Here is a 26,023-nt window from a genome sequence, read left to right as displayed (position 1 = left end):
GATGAGCTGATATCACCCAGTCAATAGAGCCATGAGATACACCTGTCACAGCATTCTGATTAGGTAAAGTTTGAGATGATGATCATCATCTCCACCTTACACACGAGGCTTAGAAGTTAACCCACTCCCTCAAGGACCCACAGCTGGCAGCTGTAGGTGTGAATCCATTCCTGACTTCCAGGTGGACTGATCCAGCTGGACTCATTGTGCCTGCGCTAAGCCAGAGCATGTCCTGCTAATTAGTCCCTTGAATCTATTAAGACCGTTTTTCCACCTGCAGGCTGGGACACTTTGATGGGTGTTGACCAGCATTTGTTTAATAGAACAGTGTAGAAATTCCCAGAAGGTCAGGCACAGAGTAGGGGAAGTGCAGTTTCAGAAACTTAGCCACATCCAGCTGCACAGATCATGAGGCTCCCAGGTCTCCCCCAAAACCACTGCACTAAAGGAGTTACTCCTACAGAGAGTGGCTGCTGGGGTTTTGATAAATGTGGAGTCATGCCTGTCATTGGAAGCTTTAGAAGAGACAGGTGTTAAGGAAAGCCACCTAGCCAGCCCTGCATGGCTGATGTTCCCATTTGCTGAGGGCCTGGGAGATTAGGTTTCAGTCCACGTGCAGCTGTAACTGGCCAGTTGAGCATGCAAGGCTTCCCTGGGGGCTTGTTGTGAAGGTCAGATGAGATAATGGATATTAAAATACTTGAAAAGGCATCAAGTGCTGTGTAAATATAAAGAGGTGACACTCAACTCTCAACTGCATGTATATGTATTGTACATTCCGGCCCCACTAGCCTGTGAGTACAATGATTGTACTTAACAGTAGCCAATCCTGCGCTGCCCTGAGCCTCTGCAGCTTCCAGGGGGCTCGGCCGCAGCTGGACATGGCACCAACCTCTCTCCCTGTGGCCGTGCTCCCCTTTTCCAGTCCCATCCCTGTACTCCTTCCCTTTGCCAAAGCACTGTCCCTTCTCAGAAAGGCCAGCGGTACTAGTACAGCAGGTGCAGCCTAGCCGATCCCGGGTTGTCCCCGGTGATGGCCTCCCTCCTCCATGGGCCCCCAGGTCCCAGGCACAATCAGCTCCCCGCCTGCTGGAGAGCCAGGTGCCCAGCCTCTCCCACCAGAGATGGGGCCCAGGCCAGCCCTGGGGTGCTTTTTCCCCACCGGTGGGGCCCTGTGCGGGGGTTCTGAATGGGCCAGGCTGCTCCACTACCGCCAGCATCCCCACTCACAGACCTACTTTGCTTTCTCTAGAGGGAAGGATGTCCCCTCAGAACATCCCCTGCCAGCAGGCGCCCCCATCTTACTCTTCTTTCCCCCGTCCTTTGGGAGCAGGGGCACAGGCTTCTGGCATCCCCCAAGTGGAGCTGTTTCCACTCCTGACCCTGCATAAAAAGGGACACCAGGCAGGTTTAGAATAGATGCAGACCCAGAGGGAGGCAAGACATTACTTGAGACGGGGCAGTTTGGCTTGGGACTTATTGAGGACAATTTCTAGAAGTCTCCTATCAGACTATCTTGCACAATGAAGGCACTTGATAAATAGGCGTTGAGGTTGTTGAGGGGTGGCAAGGACAGAATGGGGAGGAGCAGCAGGACGAACACTGTCATTTCCAAAGCCAGTCATTGCATGGAAGAGCATGCTGATGTGTATGTCACCAGGCAGAAGAGGGCAGTAAGGAACACGTGTCCATGTGAAGAGACAAGAGTCATGAGCTAACGCTCATTCTGTGTTCTTGTTCACAGTTACTGTTTTGGCAGAAAACAATCACATTAAGGACTTATTGAGGAAACACGGGGTGAACGTCCAGAGTATCGCGGACATTCATCCAATTCAAGTCCAGCCGGGCCGGATTCTTAGTCACATATATGCCAAGCTTGGTAGGTTTGGGGAAATTACCTGGGCCTTTTTGGCATGGGGGCATCTCGGTTCTAGATTTGGGGTCTGAGGGAGACTGTGATATACGTAAGTTCTAAAGACTTGGACAAAAACTAAAGCAGGCGGTTCCACCGCTTCGATGTGAAGAGGAACGGGCAAACCAGCACGTTCTCACACCCGTTCAGTGGGCACCGTCACAGGTGGCCAAGCATTCGCCGGATCTGTTGTAAAATAAGGAGCCACCTTGAAAAATTTACAATTGGAAAAGTCATTTGTGTCTTGATAATGCTTCTCATGTTTACCTTTAGTATCAGAAAATGCTCATTTACACATTAAAATGGGAGGAGGTTCTCTATGCTTTTTCTACAATCTGACTTTGTTTACTATTATGGTTCAATACTAAGTAAATCGAAAGTAAATGTTCTATAGTCCTTTTAGTAGTTTTATTCCATGCAGTTCCAACTGGGTACTGTTCATATACATTCATGAAAAGAAGGGGGCGGGATTTGTTTTAATATTCAGCTTCGTGCCATTTTAAAGGATGATGGCAGTAGAAGAACCAAGCCCCAAAATGGGTTGTCTAATCTAGAAATAAGCTCAGTCTTAGCCTGAGTTGCCTGGATTACTTGTTAACCGTATTTCCTCTAACTCCAATTTATCTTTTACTTCTCAAACAGGACGGAATAAGAATATGAATTTGAGTGGGCGACCGTATCGACATATTGGTGTCCTTGGAACCTCTAAACTATATGTGATTAGGAACCAAATCTTTACTTTTACACCCCAGGTGAGGAGAGCAGGCCAACGAGCATCTTTTTTTTAAGTTCTCTTTGCTGTCTGGTAAGCTTTTCTCCTGTGAATATGACAGAATTCTGCATGCATAGGTTCAAATAGAGACATATGAAATGATACCAAGAGCCTAGTACAAGTCTGCCCGTAGTAGGTGCTCGGTAAATGCTTTTTGAGACAGGCGTGCCATCACTTCCAGTCATGAATATTAGTGAAATTCAGACTGCTTTAGAAGTTTGCTGTTGACATGTCACTTGACTCACAGCCCTTGTGCCCCTAATCACAATCATCTCTGACCCTTGTGCAAGCTGTCATCAGACCCTCTGTGTAACACACAGCCAGGCTGATTTTCTGGCCACACCCTCGCTTACTGGGATACTGAATGTACTCATGGAACTTACTGGAGAGCTTTGGTTTCCAAAGAAAACTAGTCCTGTGGAAGTACATAGAAAATATTTTTCACCCATTTGGGCAGCTAGAAAGACCAACAGTGGGATCGCTTTGGCAGTGCAGGGCACAATCCCTGCTTACCTGGGCACAGGGTTGGTCATGGGGTCTTGGGTCAAGCTGCTGTTTCATCCTAGCCCCTGCTGCTCACAGAAAGCTTGTGAGCTATTTCCCTTAGTAGCAAATTTCAGTCCAGAGCTGAGCATGCACTAGTCCAGAGGCCAAGAGAACAGTTTGATTTGTTCTCAACATCAGGCAGCAGTGTCTTTAGTTGACATTAACCAAAGCCATCAATCAGGTAAACAGAGTGTCCACCTCCCACCTGCTCACAGTGCCCCCACTTGGAAAGCATCTTCGAACCCATAGCCCTGGAAGGATCAGGAATTAAGGAGTTATTGATTTGCTTTCAGAGACAGCAGTGTTGGGCAAGATGCTTAAATCCCCATCTGAGGAGCTGGAAATAAATCTAGCAGTGCACCTTTCCCTTCCACCCTACAGCGACAGCTCCCGGGCAGGCAGCAGACTGATTTGTCTGATCTTGAGCAGGGCAGCCCCATGACTGGGTGGATTGAAACGAGTACTGAGCCTCTTGCCTGGCAATAAAACCCCAGGATTAGTGCTGACCTGAGTTGTCAGCTGGTGTTTCCAGGTAAAGAAAGGGTGGCCGTTTACCCAGCCTCCTCTGACTTTCAGTTCACCGACCAGCATCACTTCTACCTGGCCCTCGACAATGAGATGATCGTGGAGATGCTAAGGATCGAGCTGGCCTACCTGTGCACCTGCTGGAGGATGACGGGCAGACCCACACTCACCTTCCCCATCAGTCGCACCATGCTCAGTAACTCCAGGGATTTCAGCAGGCTCCCTCCTGCCCCAGGGGTGGTTTGGGCTCTTACAAATGTTTAAAATGGCTCCCATGGCCAGAACTAAGCACTGAAGGGGCTTCTTAGCAGTTTGGTTTCTTATCTCGGGAATCTTCTATGCCAGAAATATTTTAATTAGATGGTGTTGATGAAAATGTTTCAGTGCATAACGGAAAAAAAGTCTGCCCAGACTAAACTAATTCATCACTTTTTTTCCTTAGCAAATGATGGCTCAGACATTCATTCTGCTGTGCTCTCCACAATTAGAAAACTAGAGGATGGATATTTTGGAGGAGCCAGGTAATTTGTGATTTTTTTAAAAAATATAAGAGTAGCACTGACCTTTCTTAAAGTCCTTTGCTGCCCTTGTCCCATTTTTCATATTAATTGTTGAACCTAAAAGCATGCAGTTTTAGAGTAAGCAGGAAGGTAACACTTCTCTAATCCAGTCGCCCGTGTGAAACTTGGCTCATCTCTGAAACAGCACTCGGCTGATATCTTTTAAGCTTTACAGGCACCAGGAGGCCTCGGACATAGGGAGGTGAACCATCAAGTCCCTCTGAAACATCTGTTCTTCTTGGAACGCATGTATGGAATTCTGTGTATATTTCTGTTAAAAGGTGTGGAAGAAAATACTCTGCCTGGGATCCTGCAGGTGCCCAATAAATGCTCCTTGCACCAACTTGAATATGCTATCACCTTAAGATTCATTTGCAGGACTTGGCAAATTCCTTAGAGCCCTCACAGCAGAGCACCTGAATGAGTCTGTGTAGGTCACTGGCCCCTCACCTTCTGTGGAATGAGCCCCCTTCTGGTTTACAGGCCCCAAGTAGGGAAGACGTACCCAGGTATTATGCTTAAGCACCTTGAGTGATAGAGGGCTTGCCCTCCAGGAATACCCCTTCCATTTTTGTGCCCTCTACTGTCACAAGGCAGAGGTCTTCTCTGTAGTGTCTATTCTCTCATCTTCTTCCATCCCCTAGGATATACCAGAAGGGCCCCAAGAGAATGCTGTGGACCAGGCACGGTGGCTCACACTATAATCCCAGCACTTTGGGAGGCTGAGGCAGGCAGATCACCTGAGGTCAGAAGTTTGAGACCAGCCTGGCAAAACCCTGTCTCTATTGAAAATACAAAAATTAGCCAGGCATGGTGGTGCACGCCTGTAGTCCCAGCCATTTGGGAGGCTGAGGCAGGAGAATCGCTTGAACTTAGGAGGTAGAGGCTGCAGTGAGCCAAGATCATACCACTGCACTCCAGCCTGGGTAACAGAATGAGACTCCGTCTCAAAAAAAAAAAAAAAAAAAAGGAGAATCTCACTGTGTAGCTCAGCCCTGGTGTAGCCTTTCCAGGGCTCAGGGAGGCTTCTGTTTGGTCCCTGATGGAATTCCAGTTGCTAAAACTTTTGGAGTTGAAGCCCACCCTTTCTTCTCACATCCTCTCACCCCAGGGACACTCCTACCACAGCAAAGTCACTGTCGTTTTTTTAAAATTATGGTAATTTACCTATAACATTACCTTAACCATTTGTAAGTGTATAGTTCAGTAGTGTTAAGTACATTCACATTGTTGTGCAACCAATCTCCAGAACTCTTTTCATTTTGCAACAAGTAAAACTGTACACCCATTAATAGCAACTCTACTTCCCCCTCCTCCCGCCCCTAGCAACCACCAGCCTTTCTGCCTCCATGAGTTTGACTGCTCCAGATAGCTCATATAAGTGGCATCATACAACATTTATCATTTTGTGACTGGCTCATTTCACATGATGTCCCCAAAGTTAAGTCCCTGTTATTTCTAACCCTGGCCTTGAGCGATTTGAAGAGCCCGCTGAGGTTGGTCCCTCTGCCCACAGAGCTTCTTGCAGGTTTTGCTGTAGACTTGAAGTGGCCCTTGATCCAAGCTTCTCCTGGCCTTTCTCGCGAGACTGTCCCCAGTGTTTTGCTGTATACACTTTCAGGACTAGTGCCATACCAGCAATCTGCATCCACTTTTGCACATTTTACCTCCAATTTGCTTCAGTTACCACCTGGTGCATGGCATCATAACTGAGAGAGAATACCAAAGGCCTATAATTAACCATTTTGCAAAATAATTTTTTTTTTTTTTGAAACGGAGTTTCACTCTTGTTGCCCAGGCTGGAGTGCAGTGGCACAATCTCGGCTCACTGCAACCTCCACCCCCCAGGTTCAAGCAATTCTCCTGCCTCGGCCTCCCAGGTAGCTGGGATCACAGGCATGTGCCACCACACCTGGCTAATTTTGTATTTTTAGTAGAGACGGGGTTTCACCATGTTGGCCAGGCTGGTCTCAAACTCCTGACCTCAGGTGATCCACCTGCCTCAGCCTCCCAAAGTGCTGGGATTACAGGTGTGAGCTACTGTGCCCAGCCGCAAAATAAATCCTTTTATTGAGATCTAATCATTGTAAAAAGGAAATTGTCTGCAGTTCACTGAGCACTGGCCGTGTATTCAATGTGTTGTCTCATTGAGGCTTCACTTTCTGACTTGGGGTGAATTCCCATTTCATAGACAAGGAGCTGTAGACTCAGAGAGCCATTGGCAGAAGAGGAATAGGTGCAGCAGCTCTGTGTGAACCCAGAACCCGGCCTCTAAGCCCTGGTGCTGAGCTGGATGAGGGCTTATTGGTGTCAGGAGGGCCCCTTGGTTATAGACCATGGCAGATGATTCAGAGAGCCTTAGAAGAGACTGGAATGCCTAGGCTACTTCTGCTCAGTTCATGATCATTAAGAGCTTTATAAATAAAATTAATATAGTTATAATTTAGTATATGATTTATAGATTACATATAGGAGTTATAACTATGTAACACAGTGTTATAAAAATTATATTGCAAAGATAATTAAGTTCTTGATAAGTTGAGTCACAGTTTTGGCTTTTCCTCTATTTCTGAGGGTTGTTGTTGTTTTTCTTTTGAGACGGAGTCTCTGTCGCCCAGGCTGGAGTACAGTGGCGCGATCTCGGCTCACTGCAACCTCCACCTCCCAGGTTCAAGCAGTTCTGTCTCAGCCTCTCAAGTACCTGGGATTACAGATGCCTGCCACCACACCCTGCTAATTTTTGTATTTTTAGTAGAGAGGGGTTTCACCATGTTGGCCAGGGTGGTCTCAAACTCCTGAGCTCAGGTGATCCACCTGCCTTGGCCTCCCAAAGTGCTGGGATTGCAAGCATAAACCATGGTGCCCAGCCTATTTCTGAGGGTTTTTTAAAAGCTGAACTCACCCTACATACCCACTGGATCCACTTGGGGGGGGTGCTCAATTAAAGAAAGGCTTTTCTTTCCCTCGGGCTGTCATTCTGGTTATAGCCCTTTTGAGGCTGAAGCTCTGGCACCTCTGATACTATTGCATTACATATGCCTCAATTGACTCTTTAAACGTTTCTCAGCCTTTTCAACTAAATCCCAATCTGGTGCTGATAACTCTGAGGGAGGGATCCATTGCTTTCTGCTCCCCCGGTGTAACCTTTTAAGAATGTTTTCTTCTGTATGTGCAAATCGCTCCCAGCGTGTGGGGTTGGACCTGCAGAACCTCAGGCCCCAGGCTGCCAAACCCAGCGTCCAGGTTTCAGTGGAACTGTGCCCAGCCTAAGGTGATAGGGCCACTCAGGGCTTCTGCTCCAGTCTGGGGATGGCTTCCCCATTGAATTCCTTCTAGAGGGAACCTGACCTCTTCCATCATAGCACCCCTGTCCCTGTGTGACAGTGTTTCGTGGTAGGGACTCATAAATAATGGAACGAGTGTGCCCAGAGAATCACTGCTTCTGGGCCAGTCGTTTTGGGGGAAAAAACAAAACAAAAACATGGGTTGGTTCTGTTTAAAAGTAGTTTGCGCAATATATTTTGTCAAACTGTTGGTTGGTTCAGTAAAATAGAGTCGTATTTGTGTTGGGTTGGGAGTAAGAAGTCAGTGTGATTCATTTGGCTTTTAATATGCTGTGCGCGTTCACTTCATACTTGCTATTGAATTTTTGTTTGAATGTCTTGGCTGACCGCTTATATGGGGCAATCTGCAGAGTGATATATGTATTGATTCTGGCAGAAGCACCACATGGTTGTGCAAAAGTCTCTCAGTGATTCATAGTGGAAGGTTATCCACACACTACCTGTGTCCCTAACACGGTGTCTTCTTGGCAGAGTAAAATTAGGGAACCTTTCGGAATTTCTCACCACATCGTTCTACACATATCTGACTTTTCTGGATCCAGACTGTGATGAGAAGTTGTTTGACAATGCCAGCGAAGGGACTTTCAGTCCTGATAGTGATTCAGATTTGGTAGGATATCTGGAAGACACCTGTAATCAAGGTACAGCTTGGAATGCTTTTGTGGGTAGTTCGCTGAATTTATTTAAACTTTAGCATTGTGATAAAATTGCCCTAAGACTCAAATATAGACAATGATTGATAATTAAAAACAAGGAAAAACAAAAAAGAGGCTTCTGAAACTTGCATATATTAAAATGAATAAAATGCCCGTTTAAAAACCGAAACTGCAAATGATGTCCTTGAAAGTGGGGCATTTTTAAACCTAGAAGGACAAAGAGTTTCAGGAATGGGGACTTTTTTTCTTTTTTTTCTTCTCTCTCTCTCTTTTTTTTTTTTTTTTTTTGTTGTTGTTTGTTTTTGAGACAGGGTCTTGCTCTGTTGCCCAGGCTGGAGTGCAGTGGCATGATCATGGCTCACTGCAGCCTCGACCTCCTGGGCTCAAGCAATCCTCCCACCTCAGCCTCCCAAGTGGCTAAGACTATAGGCCTACAGGGAAGCACCACCATACCCAGCTAATTCTTTTATATTTTATAGAGATGGGGTCTCCTTATGTTGCCCTGGCTGGTCTTAAACTCCTGGGCTCAACTGATCAGCCTGCCTCGTCCTCCCAAAGTGCTGGGATTACAGGCATGAGCCACCGTGGCTGGCCAGGAATGGGGACTTTGCACAGAATACATACATTCTGAAGACAGAAACATACTGCTTGAATTTTCAAAGGAGTGGTAGAATGATCTAGGTTTGGTTGGATATGAGTGATGAAACCCTACGTATATAACATTTGTCAGTCTGAATAAGGTTTTGAGGTGATCTGTTTTTCACTTTTAGATAGTAGTTGGAATTAGGGCTGGGAGTTCCATAAGGCTTAGCTCACTCATGACAAATTAAAACAAAAAGCCCAGACTTCGGCTGCTATCCTTCAGGCTGTCTTACATATTATTCAGTTCATCTTGGGAGGACGAGATGTAAACACTATCTTGACTGGTAGTTTTTTTTTCCTGGGATAAAGTTTTTCCAAACAGCAAATTTCTACACACATACATTATCTCTGTAAATCTCTTCTTACTCTTCAGGGGTGAGTGGGAGTGCAAATATCGATATCTCAGTGTTGTCATCTGCTAAGCCTACTCAGTGCTGCTTGCTACCCATGGTCACTATTGTGTAGTCATATTTCTACAGCTTGGTTTCATTGGCTCTTTTTCTTGCTTGTCCAATTACAGAAAGCCAAGACGAACTTGACCATTATATCAACCACCTTCTGCAAAGCACATCGTTGAGGTCCTATCTGCCTCCTCTTTGTAAGAACACAGAAGACCGCCATGTCTTCAGTGCTATCCACTCCACGCGGGACATACTTTCTGTGATGGCAAAAGCAAAGGGTTTGGAAGTTCCATGTATGTTATTAACTCTTTTCTGCCTGTTAAAATACCTTCTTTTATCAAAGTAATGCAGGGACATAATTTAAAAGCCAAAGAATCCTAGAAGACAACAAAATGCCCCCCACGTGCTTCTACTTAGAGGTAACCACTTTCAACTCTTTTAGCTCTTTCTTCTGGTATGTACATATCTCCATATTTCTCAAATAATGTGTACATACTGCTGTCTTCACATGCATTGACTTGATTCGGTACTTGTTGACTTTCGATTAAGTGGGTAAGGATCTGGCTGTCTTAAATCACCACTCCTCTGCTTCACTCCCCCTAACCCACCAAGGGGTTAAAGTTTAGTTAAATCAGTATTCACTCTTTATATCATTGTATGTACACAAATATTTCCAACTGAGCATTATAGTATACTCTGTTTATATTCCCATTTTTACTCTGTTTTTTCGAAAGGTAAAGTTACCCTGGCTTTTCATTTGCTTTGCTTTCTTTCTACATCTTCCAGTGGCCTCGCAATACAAATTTCCACAAGCTCAGTCGTATCGGTGAATCTCTCAATTCCACTGCCTTTCTTAGAGTCCACGAGTCTCCTTCTATCTGTGCTGACTGCGCTCTAGGCCTGTTGCATATGTGTCATCCTGGGAGTTTCCCTGGCTTGTCTCCTTAGTTGGATTCCGTGGTTCCTGAATCTGCTGTGTTCCCCTTTCTCAATGTATTCTTCTGTTTTGGTGGAGCACATTCTAGAATAGTTTCAGTAGGTTTCAAAAAAAAAAAAGTGAAGTGGAAGAGGGCATGGTGGTGACAGCTCTCGACTTACTTGTTTTTGAACTGCACTGCCCTCTGCCCCCTTCTGGCTTGGTTGCCCTCAGTGTCTGAGGTGCTTTTTACCCTGGGATCTTCCCCGGAGGCTTCCTTGACTTGTCTCCTGGGATGGCTCTCCTGTGTTCTGTATCCCAACTCTTCTTTCTTGGTTCACTCTTATTTTAATAGAGGACATGCAGTAGTTTCCTGAGAAACAGCGCACGGTGGGTAAAATTGTTGAAACCTTGCCATTTTAAAAATGTCTACAAATGTTCCAGACCCATTTGAGAGTTTGGCTGGGTATAGAATTCTAGATTAAAAATACATTTTTTTGGCTGGGCGTGGTGGCTCATACCTGTAATCCCAGCACTTTTGGAAGCTGAGGCAGGCGGATCACTTGAGGCCAGGACTTTGAGACTAGCCTGGCCAACATGGTGAAACGCTGTCTGTACTAAAAATACAGAAATGAGCCAGGTTTGGTGGCCTGCACCTGTAATCCCAGCTACTCAGGAGGCTGAGGCAGAAGAAGCACTTGAACCCGGGAAGCAGAGGTTGCAGTGAGCTGAGATCGTGCCACTACACTCCAGCCTGGGTGACAGAGCAAGACCCTGTCTCAAAAAAAAAAAAAAAAGACATTTTTTTGCAGATTTTTGAAAGTATGACTTATTGTCTTCTTGCTATCAGTGTGTTGGTGTTGCTGTTGAGAAATCTAAACCTGGGCAGGCACAGTGGCTCATGCCTATAATCTGAGCAATCTGGGAAACTGAGGCAGGAAGATCGCTTGAGTCCAGGAATTTGAGACCAGCCTGGGCAAGATAGTGAGGCCCTGTCTCTACAAAAAATAGAAAAAATAGCCAGGCATGGTGGCACATGCCTGTAGTCCCAGCTACTTGGGAGTCTGAGGCAGGAGGATCACTTGAGCTCAGGGAGGTTGAGGTTGCAGTGAGCTGTGATCACACCACTGCACTCCAGCCTGAGTAACAGAACGAGAACCTGTCTCAAAAAAAAAAAAAAATGTATTAGCCCATTCTTGCATTGCCATAAAGAAATACCTGAGACTGGGTAATTTATAAAGAAAAGAGGTCTAATTGGCTCAGGGTTCTGCCGGCTGTACAGGAAGCATGATGCTGGCATCTACTTGGCTTCTAGGGAGGCCTCAGGAAGCTTCCAGTCATGACGGAAGACAAAAGGGGAGCAGACACTTCACATGGCGACAGTAGGAACAAGAGAGAGTGGTCACACACTTTTGAACAACCAGATCTCATATCCCTTGTGAACTCAGAGTGAGAGCTCACTTATCACCAAGGGGATGGCCCAAGCCATTCATGAGGGACCCACCCCCATGATCCAAACACCTCCCACCAGGCCCCACCTCCAACACTGGGGATTACATTTCAACATGAGATTTGAGTGAGACATTCAAACCATATCAGAAATTAAACCCATTCTGATTGTTTGAGACAAGAGTATCACTCTGTCGCCCAGGCCAGAGTGCAGTGGCTCGATCTCAGCTCACTGCAACCTCCGCCTCCTGGGTTCAAGCGAGCCTCCTGGGTTCAAGCGATTCTCCTGCCTCAGCCTCCCAAGTAGCGGGGATTACAGGCACCCACCATCACATCCGGCTAATTTTTGTATTTTTAGTAGAGACAGGGTTTCACCGTGTTGGCCAGGCTGGTCTTGAACTTCTGACCTCAGGCAATCTGCCCTCTTGGGCCTCCCAAAGTGCTGGGATTACAGGCGTGAGCCACCGTGCCCGGCTCATTCTGATTTTTGATACTTCAAATATGAGCTGTTTTTCTCTTTGAAAGTGTTTAGGATCTTCTCTGCTCCCGGCTTCTGACATCTCAGTGCTGCACCTTAATCTCTATCTGGGTGTGTTTTCATCCATTGTGTTGGATACACACTGGGCCTTTCCAATCTGGAAATTTGTTTTTCAGTCCTGTAAAGTTTTCCTAAAAAGTTTCTTGACTCATTTCCTGCCCAACATTTTCTCTGTTCTTTCTTTCTGGTGTTCCTATGATTCCAAAGTTGACTTCCTAGAGAAGACTTTATCATTTTTTTCCCTCTGTTTTCCATTTTTCTGTCTTGTCCTGAAAGCCATTGTCTCAACTTTTTGTTCCATCCCCTCAATTTAGCCACTTTTGCTATCATGTTTTAAATCTTTGTTCCCCAAATTGTGTCTGTTTTTGTTTCACGTTTACAATATAATTTCTTGGCCAGACGCAGTGGCTGATGCCTATAATCCCAGCACATTGGGAGGCCAAGACAGGCGGATTCCTTGAACCCAAGAATTCTGGACCAGCCTGGGCAACGTAGCAAGACACTGTCTGTACAAAAAAAAAAAAAAAAAAGATTAGCCAGGCGTGGTGGTGCATGTCTGTGATCCCAGGTACTTGGGAGGCTGAGGTGGGAGGATCGCATGAGTCCGGGAGGTTGAGGCTGCAGTGAGCCATGATCATGCCACTGCACTCCAGCCTGGGTGACAGAGCGAGACCCTGTCTCAAAAAAATAGTAAAAATACAGTATAATTTCTTTTTCTGAAAGAGAGAAAGAAAAGGTCCTGCTCTGTCACCCAGGCTGAAGTGCAGTGGCATGATCATGGCTCACTGCAGCCTTCACCTCCCAGGCCCAAGCGATCCCCCTACCTCAACCTCCCAAGTAGCTGGGACCACAGGTGCATGCCACCACACCCAGCTAATTTTTATTTTTATTTCTGTGGAGACAGGGTTTCACCATGTTGCCCAGGCTGGTCTCAAACTCCTGACCTCAAACGATCTGCCTGCCGTGGCTTCCCAAAGTGCTGGGATTACAGGCATGAGCCACCATACCTGGCAATTTGTTATTATTCTAAGAATATTAATGGCAGGGCTTTTTGTTTTGGTTTGTATATACCCTTTTTACTCTTTGAATGGTTTCCATTCCCCCAAGTCACCTTTTCCGGTTTGCTTAGGTTTCTGTCTTCCACATGAGCGTCCTCCTTCAAATGCCCTGCTCCTCCTCGCTTACCTGGTCATGCATGAGAATCTCCAAGCCCATGGGTGGGGCTTGTTGACTCGGAGTTATTTGATTTCCCAGAGATACTCTACAATCTCCTAGTGGATTTCCTATTTCAAGGATTAGGGCCTGGTTGCCTGGAGCTATATAGTTACTTATAATTCCCTTAAGGAATGTATCTACGCCTTCAGATGTGCTAATCAGCAGCCCCTCTCTCTTCGAGCCCCTTCCTCCTTTACCCTCTTCTGAGAGACCCTCCAGTCTTCTGTCAGAGTGAGTGAGGTGGTCATCAAGCTGGGTGTAGTTGAAGCGGATGTCCAGGGAGCTCACTGCTTCTCAGATAGCTTCTCCCCAGCCTTCCTTGTTTTGGACACCCCTTCTAGGCCCCAGTTCCAGAAGCACATAGTGCAGCAGGCCCCAGGGACTTCTGATGAGCCTTGGGTGTAACTGACCAGCTCTCGGATTTCTCCACTGCAGACTTGGGAATTGGTTGCCTTGTGTCAGCTAAATCACTTATCTTTCATCTGTCAGCTTTCCCGCTTCTGAAATTCTGTTCCTGTCGTCTTCTTTCTTGTTTTTCTTCATTCTCAAGGATTTGTCTTTTAAAAAAAAATATATACAGTTATGCACCACATAACTTTTTGGTCAATGGCAGACCGCATATATGGCGGTGGTCCCCTAAGATTATAATGGAGCTGAAACCTTTCTGTCACCTAGTGACATCGTAGCTGTAGTGACTTTGTAGCACCATGCACTGCTCACATGTTTGTGGCGATGCCAGTATCAGTAAACCTCCTGCGCTGCCAGTCGTGTACAGGTCTAGCACATACAATTATGTATAGTACATAATACTTGATAATACATAAGTATGTTGCTGGTTTGCGTATTTAGAGTGTACTCCTTTTACTTATTAAAAAACGTTAACTGTGAAACAGCCGCAGACCAGTTCTTCAAGAGGGATTACAGGAGAAAGCATTGTTATCTTAGGAGATGACAGCTCCATGTACATTACTGCCCCTGAAGACCTTCCAGTGGGACAAGCTGTGGAGGTGGAAGCAGTGATGGATGATCCTGGCCCTGCATAGGCCTAATGTGTGTGTTTGTGTTTTCATTTTTTAAAAAAAGTTTAAAAAGTAAAATAAATAAAACTAAAAAATAGATCAAAGCTTATAGAATAAGGACGTAAAGAAAATATTTTTGTGGGCCGGCTGTGGTGGCTCATGCCTGTAATCCCAGCACTTTAGGAGGCCCAGGTGGGTGGGTCAGGAGTTCAAGACCAGCCTGGCTAACATGGTGAAACCCTGTCTCTACTAAAAATACAAAAATTAGCTGGGCGTGGAGGCACACACCTGTAATCCCAGCTACTCGGGAGGCTGAGGTGGGAGAGTCGCTTGAACCAGGGAGGTGGAGGTTGCAGTGAGCCGAGATCGCACCACTGCAGTCCAGCCTGGGCAACAAGGCGAGACTCCATCTCAAAAAAAAAAAAGAAAGAAAATATTTTTGTACAGCTGTACGATCTGTGTTTTAAGCTGTTATTACAAAAGTCAGATTTTTAAAAATTTAAGTTTATAAAGTTACAGTAAGCTAAGGTCATTTAATATTAAAGAACACTGTGTGATGAATTCAGTGCAGTGTGAATGTAGAGTATTTATGAAGTCTACAGCAGTGTACAGTCATGTCCTAGGCCTTCACATTCACTCACCACTCACCCAGTCACCCAGAGCAACTTCCAGTCCTGCAAGCTCCATTCATGGCAAGGGCCCTATAGAGGTGAACCATTTTTCATCTTATATACCATATTTCTCTTTTTTTTTTTTTTTTTGACAGGGTCTTGCTCTGTCACCCAGGCTGAAGTGCAGTGCCACGATCAGGGCTTACTGCAGCCTCAGTCTCCTGAGCTCAAGCGATCCTTCTGCCTCAGCCCTCCAGTAGCTGGGACTACAGGCATGCACCATCACACCCGGCTCATTGTTTTTGTTTTGTTTTTTGAGACAGTTTCATTCTTGTTGCCGAGGCTGGAGTGCAATGGCATGATCTCAGCTCACCATAATCTTCGCCTCCCAGGTTCAAGCGATTCTCCCGCCTCAGCCTCCGGAGTAGCTGGGATTACAGGCATGTGCCACCACACCTGGCTAATTTTGTATTTTTAGTAGAGATGGGGTTTCGCCATGTTGTCAGGCTGATCTTGAACTCCCGACCTCAGGTGATCCTTCCGCCTCAGCCTGCCAAAGTGCTGGGATTACAGGTGTGAGCCACCACGCCTGGCCTACCATTTTTTTTTTTTTTTAATTTTAGTAGGGATGAGGTCTCACTATGTTGCCCAGGCCAGTCTTGAACTCCTGAGCTCAAGAAATCCTCTCACCTCAGCCTCCCAAAGTGCTGGGATTACAGGCATGAGCCACCATGCCTGGCCTATACCATCTTTCTACCATACCTTTTCTATGTTTAGACACACAAATACTATTGTGTTACAGTTACCTACAGTATTCAGTACAGGAACATGGATACAGGTTTGTAGCCTAGGAGCAATAGCCTCTATCATCCAACCTAGGTGTGTAGTAGGCTGTACCATCTAGGTTTGTGTAAGTACACTCTATGCTGTTCATGCAGTGAGGAATTTGCCTAATGACACATTTCTCAGAATGTATCCCTGTCATTAAACAATGCATGACTGTATATATTTTCTGTAATGTTAGTGGAGGGTTGGAAGGAATTAAAATTACAGTGTGTATTCAATTCACAAATATAACCTGGAGGTCTATAAATGCCTTTTAAATATGCATCATCTTTACCTTGAAAACTTCTTGTTCTCCTGAGATGACATGATATAGCCTGGAAGACAGGGATGGCTTAATGAATAAATATCAATAATGATAATATCCAGAGGTGGTTGAAAAACAAGCCCTACTGCCCAGCAGTGGCAGAGTGAAGTGCATACTGGACCGGAAGCCAAGACACCTTGGTTATGGGAAGTGACCTTGGACAAATGGTCTGCCCTCTCTGGGTCTCTCAGTTTCCTCATCCGAAAGAAAAAGAGGTCAGGCGAAATCACTTCTGAGCTTCTTTCCAGTCCTGGGATGTTGTATCATTTTTCCTGAATTCCAGGAGGGAAAAGCGAAATCCAGTTCTCAAAGCAAGATCTATGCCTGCTCACTTCTTATTCCCAGATTTAGCACATGAGGTGGCTACATGATAAATTCTTGTTGAAGCTAAACTAAATAAGTGATCTTTCCTTCTGTTGGTTTGTGTTAGATAAGGAGCAGCCGCCATACTTCTCAAAAGAAGTATTGGCCGGGAACGGTGGCTCAAGCCTATAATCCCAGCACTTTGGGAGGCTGAGACGGCTGTATCACCTGAGGTCAGGAGTTCAAGACCAGCCTGACCAACATGGCAAAACCCTGTCTCTACTAAAAATATAAAAATTAGGCTGGGCCTAGTGGCTCATGCCTGTATTCCCAGCACTTTGGGAGGCTGAGGTGGGCAGATCACCTGAGGTCGGGAGTTCGAGATCAGCCTGACCAACATGGCGAAATTCCGTCCCTACTAAAGATACAAAATTAGCCAGGCGTGGTGGCACATGCCTATAATCCCAGCTATTTGGGAGGCCGAGGCAGGAGAATCACTTGAACCTGGGAGGTGGAGGTTGCGGTGAGCCAAGATCTCGCCATCGCACTCCAACCTGAGCAACAAGAGGGAAACTCTGTCTCAAAAAAAAAAAAAAAAAATTAGCTGGGCGTGGTGGCACGTGCCTGTTATCCCAGCTACTCGGGAGGCTGAGGCAGGAGAATCGCTTGAACCCGGGAGGCAAAGGTTGCAGTGAGGCGAGATCACACCAGTGCACTCCAGCCTGGGTGACAGAGTGAGATTCTGTCTCAAAAAAAAAAAAAGTGTTGTTCTTCCTCCTCAGAATAACTCTCTTTATTCTTTTGTTTTCCAGTTGTTCCCATGACTTTGCCGACTAAAGTTCTAAGTGCCCACCGTAAATCACTGAATCTTGTTGATTCTCCTCAGCCACTCCTAGAAAAGGTAAAGTATATGGAACAGCTTTTTTTAAAAGTATGGTGTTCTACAATGCAGGATGAGTCCCCAAACTCTTCCAAATGGCTAAACTCAAAAGAAACAGCATATTTCTCGATATCAGGGACCTTTCAGTTTAGAAGCTCTGGGCTTGGGTGTGAACCCAATCACTTCGTTGTCTGGAATCTGACTTGCATCAATATGTACATTGAATTTGATGCAAACCTTTACATTTTGCCTGTAGAAAAAGCTACTACCTTGCTGCCTACTCATCAGAGTCTATGTAGCCACTAGAGGAAAAAGCTCACTACCTAACCCCGCCTAACTGTTTAGCCAGCCAAGGTGGGACTACTTGGGGAACAGAGTACAGGACTCTTTGTTCCTAATGGCCTTTTTAAATTTTTCTTAGAGTCTCGCTCTGTCACCCAGGCTGGAGTGCAGTGGTGTGATCACAGCTCACTGCAGCCTCAACCTCCAGGCTCAGGCAATCCTCCCACCTCAGCTTCCCAAATAGTTGGGACTACCAGCGTGCGCCACCATGCCCAGCTAATTTTTGTATTTTTTGTAGAGACAGGGTTTTACCATGTTGCCCAGACTGGTCTGGAATTCCTGGGCTCAAGCGATCCTCTCACCTTAGCCTCCCAAAGTGCTGGGATTACAGGCGCAAGCCACTGCACCTGGCTCCTAATGCTCTTAATGTAAGAAAAAACAGTAAAAGATTCCTTAGGATACTGCAGGAAAAAGATGGGCATAAAAAAATTTTAAAAATAAGATTGCTCAGGAGAATAAAATCTCAGCCTGTTCCATTAATTCCCACAATTTGTTATTTTATCCAGGACTCTTCCCTGATTCTACCCCACACGAACAGACTCAGTGGCACACTCAGTGCCTGTTGGAGAAGATTTTACCCTGATTTCAATTTTAGGTTGTTTACATCCTTTTTGCGTTTGTTTTGCTTCCAAATAACTATACCATATATGCAGCATGGTGCAGAAAGCAGGAATAGAGAAGCGAGAGGTCACCTCCAACCCCTCCTTAGCTCTTGTGAGGGCTTTTCGGCTCCGTCTAGAAGCCGCTTGACACCAGGCATCTGCAAGAAAAAGCATACAAAGGTGATTAGCTGTCTGGGTACATGGGGATCTTCACAAGAGAGTGAAGTCTGAAGAAGTGGTCAAAGCAAGATGCTTTCCTACTTTTTAAACAAAGAGTGATAAATTTGAGAAGCTAGGACAGGACAAGGAAAATCTGGCTAGAGGCAGTTACTAGGAGATATATACACAGGGTGTGTAAAACTAGTGGAAGATAAGGTTTCCTTGGGTAAGTGTATTTATACAGGTCCATTGCCGCCCCCAGTTCCTGGGCTCTGGTGATATGGGCTATTTTCACGCCCTAGGAGTGTACCCCTCCCAGAGGCATCCTTATGGCTTGCTGCCTGCAGAAAGAGACAGGTCAGCTACCCCTTTCTGAAACTACAATTTTTCCAATGTTTTCAACTCAAAATTGTCAATATACCAATCTGGCATATTTGGGGATAGCACATCCTTCACACCTTCAGCTCAATGAATGATCACCAAGCCAGTATACCTGGATCAATGACCACCTTCTGTGCCCCCCTCCCATCTCTTTCTCCTTTTCTGGTCCAGAGATAACTGCTGTCATGATTCCTAACACCAGAGGTTAGTTCTACTGGTCTGTGAACCTTCCATAAATAAAACTCACATATATTTTAACCTATTCAGTCCAGTCTCTTGCAAATGTTGACCAGCACAGTGATTCACTGATCAAAAATAGTAAAAGCCTATAAATAAAGAGGTACAAAAAGTCATTGAAAACTGGAGCACAGCACAGCAATAGAGTTCCAAGACCAGATTGGTGTTTCACTTCTTGATCTTCCGAAAGTTCCATGCCTAGCCCATCTCCCTGCTTTCTGGCTCTTGTATGAACAGGTTCCTGAAAGTGACTTTCAGTGGCCCAGAGATGACCATGGTGACGTGGACTGTGAGAAGCTGGTTGAGCAGCTAAAAGATTGTTCGAACCTACAGGACCAAGCAGACATTCTGTACATTCTTTATGTCATAAAGTAAGTGTCTGAGTCCATTCGGGCAGTTATAACAAAATACCATGAACAGATTGGCTTAGGAACAACAGAAATGAATTTCTCACAGTTCCGGAGGCTGGGAAGTTGAAACTCAAGGCCGATTTGATGTCTGGGAAGGCCTGTTTTCTCATAGATGGCATCTTCTCATTGCATCCTGACATGGTGGAAGGGGCGAGTGAGCTCTCTGGCATTGTTTTTATAAGGGCACTCATTTCCTTCAGGAGGGCTCTGCCCTCTGACCTGATGACCTCCCAAAGTCCCCACCTCCTAATGTCATCATTGTGGGGGTTAAGATTTCAACATAGGAATTGGGGGAAAACAGACATTCAAGCCGTAGCAGTAAGTTTATGGTCTTTACTAGGCTAAGCTTTCTCAGTTCTCCTTAATTTTTTCCGTAGTATTCTTGGCCTTCTAGCCAGCCCAGGTCATGATTATATTCACCCCAGTTACCCAGGATCACCAGGAATGAGACTTCCATCCCCTTCTCTGCCTACTGATGCTGGTCCCCCAGCATGAGAAGGCTATGTGAGGCCAGGAGGCCACCACGTCCTGATGTTAGGCTTCTGTTTCAAAGGACATAGGGAAGCTTTGGTCGGGCGTAACCCTCTCAGTGAGACTCAGGGGCACTGGGAGAGCCCAAGTGCTGTGCAAAATGCACAGTGATCCATTCCTCTCCCAGTCTAAACTTTCTGGACCATATTTCTGGGTTTTTCTACCTCTTGGCAGGGGTCCCAGCTGGGACACAAATCTCTCTGGACAGCACGGGGTCACCGTTCAAAACCTTCTTGGTGAGCTCTATGGGAAAGCCGGCTTGAACCAGGAGTGGGGTCTGATTCGCTACATCTCAGGCCTTCTCAGGAAGAAAGTGGAGGTCCTGGCTGAGGTCAGTGCGACTGTGCAGGCTGCCCATGTGTGCTCACTAGCTCGTGCCCCCTTCCTCTTCCACTTCCAATCTCCCAGTTATACCTCTTACTTGTGAAGGAGCCCCATTCTTTAACCCACAGGTGGAGCGGGCCCTTCTCTCCTGCCTGCCTGCTGCTCCAGGAAGGCGAGCAGAGGGAAGGAAATGCAAGTGGATTGGTTTTGTTCTTTCTTGGCTACGGAAAAAGTCTCGCCAGGAAATCAAATGAAAGTGCTCTGTGGCCTGGCAGCCTCTTAGAGCTCTCTTTTTTTCACACATCCACAGTACAGTGATCATTAATATTTATAACCCCAAGGCCAGGCAAAATCCAGAGCTGCTTTCTAAGACACTCGAGTTCAGTGTCATGATGGTAAGATGATGGCATTTATTAGATGTGAATAATGGGGAAACGGGTAACTTAGGAATTGAATATGGTTATTAACTCTTACCATCGGTATCTTCGGACTCATCCCTGTCTCACTCAATAGCAGGGAGTCCAATGTGTTTGCTAGTGGATGGGCATTAAACGCCCACTGACGGGCCCTTCGGAGCCAGGCTTGGGGCCACACATTGGAGACAGAGACCACAGACACCCATCCCTGTCTGGGTTGCTTAGTCTGGGGTCTAGGTATGAATTTTTCAGATCAAGGGCAACATGGGTCACTAAGTTTGTAAAGGTAAATGTACGATCTGATTGGCAGTGTCTCCTCCCCACTGCCTGTCTGTCGTCTTTGCCAGTATCTCTCTCGCGCTCTGCCTCTCACCCTTCCCCTTAACTGCGCAGGCCTGCACAGACCTGCTTTCGCACCAGAAGCAGCTCACCGTGGGCCTGCCGCCCGAGCCCCGGGAGAAGATCATCTCTGCGTAAGTCCTCAGCCTTGGGGACCTCAGGTTTGCGGGGGAGCCATGGGGAAAACAGCGCTTCCCAGTGTTCGGAGGAGGGGCTTTTTAAAGACACTCTGTCACATGGATGCGTCTAGCACAGAAAATAAGGGTGTTCCATGGAGGGCGAGGAGGCACTGTCTCAAGACACCTCATCACATTCGTGACACAATGCTCCTTTCTAGGCCCCTTCCCCCAGAGGAGCTCACAAAACTCATCTACGAGGCCAGTGGGCAGGACATCAGCATTGCCGTCCTCACGCAGGTCTGGGGCTGGTGTGGGAGGGGTCGGGCCACAGCCTTCCTCAGAGTGGAGGGGACCCTTCAGCCACTCACCCTGTCTCTGAAACCCTATCTCCGTGTGTGTCTGCCTCAGGAGATTGTGGTTTACCTGGCCATGTATGTCAGGGCGCAGCCCAGCCTCTTTGTGGAGATGCTGAGACTCCGGATTGGACTGATCATTCAGGTGATGGCCACGGAGCTGGCACGGAGCCTGAACTGCTCAGGTGAGATGCCCGCAGCTCCTGCAGCTCCCGCCGCACCCCACCCCAACCACCCGGCCACGGCCTCCACTCTCAGGGGAAGAACTGCTTAGGTTATCTCGAACCCAGCATCCAAGCCTGTGGCAAGCTCAGGCCTTACCAGCTTCTCTCATTTAGATGGAACTCCCATCCATGCGGCATAGAGCTGAAGTTCATAAGTCAGGGAGAATGGGGCTCTGGTGATGTTTACCATTATAGCCTCAAAGGCGATGTGGAATCTTCCGCCCTGTACCCGACATCTAAGCTCCTTCCTGGATGCCCTTGCTATGAGATGTCACCCCCATTTTATAACACCTTCACTGGGAGAAACCCTACCAATTTGAATATAAAAATCCATCATGAGACATCCAACGTTGGGGATCATACATTGTGAAACATCATGTGTCTAAGAATTAAGCAGATACATGATTTAAACGGCAGCATTTAGAATCCCCACGGAACAGTGCATTTCAGCCCCAAAGCAATAGTGAGGTTCTCCTGAACAGGGGGACCTGCCATGGCATCTGCTATCACCTCCCTCCCCACCCACGTCCACCTGACCCTACCTTTACCCGCCACCAGCCCTGTGTTTGGGACACTTACAAGATATTTGTTTTTAGGAGAAGAGGCTTCTGAAAGTTTGATGAACCTCAGCCCTTTCGATATGAAAAATCTCCTGCACCATATTCTAAGTGGGAAAGAGTTTGGCGTTGAAAGAAGTGGTAAGTTCCATGCTCCTGTTAACGTCTTCAGGGAGCTGCCTCCTTTACATGCAGCAGACATTAGAACCAGCACTGTGGGGCATAGCGAATGTGGGAAGAGAAGGCTCCTACCTGAAGGAGATGGACAGAGTCCTAGGCTCAAGCTTCCTGCTTTGGGGGCTTTGAGACTTGCTCGCAGTGTGCTGGGCGAGCTTTTCTTGCCCAGGTTGGCACAGCATGTGGGTGTGGTATACCGCCTCCTGTAGTCGTAAGCACCTGGCACCATCACTTACGCAAAAGTGTTGGCTGGGCTCGGTGGCTAACGCCTGTAATCCCAGCACTTTGGGAGGCTGAGGTGGGCGGATGACGAGGTCAGGAGTTTGAGACCAGCCTGACCAACGTGGTGAAACCCCGTCACTACTAAAAATACAAAAAAAATTAGTCAGGCGTGGTGGCGCGCGCCTGTAATCCCAGGTACTCAGGAGGCTGAGGCAGGAGAATTGCTTCAACCCGGGAGGTGGAGGTTACAGTGAGCTGAGATCGCGCCACTGCGCTCCAGCCTGGGCGACAGAGCAAAACTCTGTTCTCAAAAAAAAGTGTTAGAAGTGTGGGGGACCCCGAATGCCAGGGTGAAAGGGCTGTCCTTTCACACCACCTGAGCATCCTGCCCTTTGGTTTGGGTAAAAACATTCTCAACCCGGCCTCACATCACCCTCCACAGGGCAGGGAGGAGACCCCTCTGTGACCTCAGCATGCTCGAGCTAACTTATTTTGCTTTGTCCTGCCTCGCTCACTCTGTTTTTATCTGAACCGGAACCCTGCTTGCAGTGCTGGGAAACATAATCACCCAAGTCCTGGCGTGATTCTTGTTCTCAAATGTTCCCTAATTATAATTGAAGCAATTATCATTTCTCCTCCTCATAAAAAAGCTAAATGATTTGCAGGCACGTTGGTGAATTTATTTCATCAAGCCAAAGAAATGCACTGTGGGCTATCATTCCTTTATTATTTAATAAGAAGGACATTGGGTACTTTGTATGTTTCCTGAGCATGTGCTGGCTGCAAACAAAGACAGCATCGTGCAGTCAGATGTGTTTTGGTGGTTTTTCTCCTTTCCCGAAGGAGGGGTGCTCAGAATGCTTTTGCAAAAGTAATTTCCAGTTCTTTCCAAGGCAGAGTCCTTGAAATGGTAATGTACGAGATAAATATTTAATGTGTTCTGCTCATCATTATAGTATTCATGGCTTGACACAGATAATTACTAAAAATTTGTCATTAGATGTACAGCTATAGATGCTATGAAACTAGGAACTGAGTAATGTCATTTGAAAGTCATAAATATGTGCGATTGCAAGCAAGAGCAGAAGACATGCTGTCTTTTTAACATATAACATCATTTGTTAGCTGTCCTTTGTAATTGCTCAATTTTTGTAAATTAGGAAGCCCAAATAGGCTTAGAATTTTGATTAAATCCTGAGATGTCTGAGATAAATGTTTCCAGCGAACACCCACCCCAGACAGCCCCTCTTGTAGCTTCCAGACCCTTCTCCTTCTGTTTTCCACTTTCCTGGGTCTGTCCTCCCTCCCCAGCTCATCACTGAGTCTCCCTTATGGGCTCCTGCCTCTCTGCTGTCCTTTAAATGTTCTTGTCCCCAAGTTCCTTATTTGTCACTACTCCTCCTGCACAGTGCCCTCCACTCCCATGGCTCCATTGGGGTCAGGTGGGATGGTGAGGCTTGCAGGGGATGCTGCCCGAGGAGGTGACCTTTGAGCTGGGCCTGGCCTTCCAGCACAGGCAGATGCCCAGTGCGGTGCAGGTGGCCGGGAGTTGAGGGGAGGTAGGGCTCGAGTTGGTAGAGTTTCAGGTGATGCTGGGAGGACTGTTTGGCCTTTGTCCTGAAGACAGCTAGACCTGGGAGGCTTTGGAGTGGGCAGTGATACGATCACACTTGCCTTTTAGAATGATTGCTGTTACCACAGCACAGAGGCCAGGCTTGTGGGTGGTGGGGCTAGGGACCGGTTTGAGCCCCGAGGCTGGTGCGATAGGTTGGGAGTGAGAGGTGGTGGCCTGGTGCAGTGCATCAGTGGCCTCTGGTTGCCTCCACCTCCAGCCCCTGGCAGCCTGGCTTTCCTAGCACTTCCCCCTCCAGCCCGAGGCCCTTCTCCAGCTGCCACCTTCATTTCATTTGGCACCTTGCCCTCAGGCCTGGGCATGGGCTCTCCTCCAGACCCCGCTGTGGCACTGAATTCTCCTGCATTCACACCTGCATCTGCTGCCCAGACAGGGCCTGGCACCAGGAGGCCCTCTGGATCATCCAGCCCACGGCCACAGCTGCCCGGGGTGCCAGCCCCTCGGGCCCACAGCAGTTTTGTCATTTTCCAGGGGCATTCCGAGAGTCACACGGGACTGGGGACAGAGCCCAGCAAGGTCCATGTGGGTCCTACACATTAGTCATGACGAACCCTTTAGAAAAATATTAATACAAATAGGATTGGGTATATTGTTGACCAGTCAACACTCACCAGATCAAACTCCATGCGGTCATGAAACATGATGTGATAGAATATTTAATGCCAGGGAGAGACATTCACGATACAAGTACAAAAAGGCAGGTCACAGAACCATACCACAGAATGTATGTATCCATCTCATGTTTCTGTATCTATACGTATGTATGTGATGGTACTGTTTTGTTAGTTAAAAACATACACAGTCATAGGGAAAAAAACTGGAAGAATCATGACTAAAATATCAAGAGATGTTAGTTCTAGCTTCTGTAGTTCAGTGGTCTCAGTTTTCTACAAGGAAGGTGTGCTTTGGGTTTTTTTTAAATTTTTGTTTATTTATTTATTTCTAATTAAATATAGATACGAGGTCTCACCATGCTGCCCAGGCTGGTCTTGAACTCCTGGGCTCAAGCAGTCTTCCCACCTCGGCCTCCCAAAGTGCTGGGATTACAGGTGTGAGCCACCGTGCCTGGCCTCGGGTATGTTTTTTGTTTGTTTGTGTATTTTTTGAGACGGAGTTTGGCTCTTGTTGCCCAGGCTGGGGTGCAATGGCACGATCTCAGCTCATCGCAACCTCCATCTCCCAGGTTCAAGCAATTCTCCTGCCTCAGCCTCCCGAGTAGCTGGGATTACAGGCATGTGCCACCACGCCCAGCTAATTTTGTTTTTTTAGTAGAGACAGGGTTTTTCCATGTTGGTCAGGCTGGTCTCGAAATCCCGGCCTCAGGTGATCTGCCCGCCTCGGCCTCCCAAAGTGCTGGAATTACAGGTGTGAGCCACCGCGCCTGGCCGGGTATGTTTTATTAGAATAATTTTTTACTTATCCAAAAGCAAGGGTGGGCACGGTGGTTCATGCCTGTAATCCCAGCACTTTGGGAGGCTGAGGCGGGCAGATCGCTTGAGCCCAGGAGCTCAAGACCAGCCTGGGCAACATGGCAAAACCCTGTCTTCACAAAACATAC

The 26,023-nt window shown here is 46.9% G+C and overlaps 1 protein-coding gene and 1 pseudogene across 13 annotated transcripts in view; both read left to right on the top strand.

The window, feature by feature from the left end:
- PHKA2 (phosphorylase kinase regulatory subunit alpha 2) overlaps window positions 1–26,023 on the top strand; it is a 91,817-nt gene that overhangs the window by 55,783 nt on the left and 10,011 nt on the right. For all 13 annotated transcript variants that reach the window (XR_950461.4, XR_001755697.3, NM_001440804.1 and 10 more), the window contains 13 exons: window positions 1,745–1,879; window positions 2,555–2,664; window positions 3,807–3,951; window positions 4,198–4,276; window positions 8,131–8,300; window positions 9,478–9,651; window positions 17,372–17,460; window positions 19,398–19,531; window positions 20,276–20,432; window positions 21,235–21,314; window positions 21,518–21,596; window positions 21,708–21,837; window positions 22,473–22,574. Coding sequence is in view for 11 of the 13 variants with exons in the window: in NM_001440804.1 (NP_001427733.1) it covers window positions 1,745–1,879; window positions 2,555–2,664; window positions 3,807–3,951; window positions 4,198–4,276; window positions 8,131–8,300; window positions 9,478–9,651; window positions 17,372–17,460; window positions 19,398–19,531; window positions 20,276–20,432; window positions 21,235–21,314; window positions 21,518–21,596; window positions 21,708–21,837; window positions 22,473–22,574 (1,584 nt within the window). In the remaining 2 variants the exon portion in view is untranslated. The remainder of the gene's footprint in view (window positions 1–1,744; window positions 1,880–2,554; window positions 2,665–3,806; window positions 3,952–4,197; window positions 4,277–8,130; window positions 8,301–9,477; window positions 9,652–17,371; window positions 17,461–19,397; window positions 19,532–20,275; window positions 20,433–21,234; window positions 21,315–21,517; window positions 21,597–21,707; window positions 21,838–22,472; window positions 22,575–26,023) is intronic.
- Window positions 12,797–13,089, top strand: RN7SL48P (RNA, 7SL, cytoplasmic 48, pseudogene; annotated as a pseudogene).

The sequence above is a fragment of the Homo sapiens genome, chromosome X, assembly GCF_000001405.40.
Source record: "Homo sapiens chromosome X, GRCh38.p14 Primary Assembly".
Taxonomy (NCBI): domain Eukaryota; kingdom Metazoa; phylum Chordata; class Mammalia; order Primates; family Hominidae; genus Homo; species Homo sapiens.
This window is presented reverse-complemented; position numbering and strand designations above follow the sequence as displayed.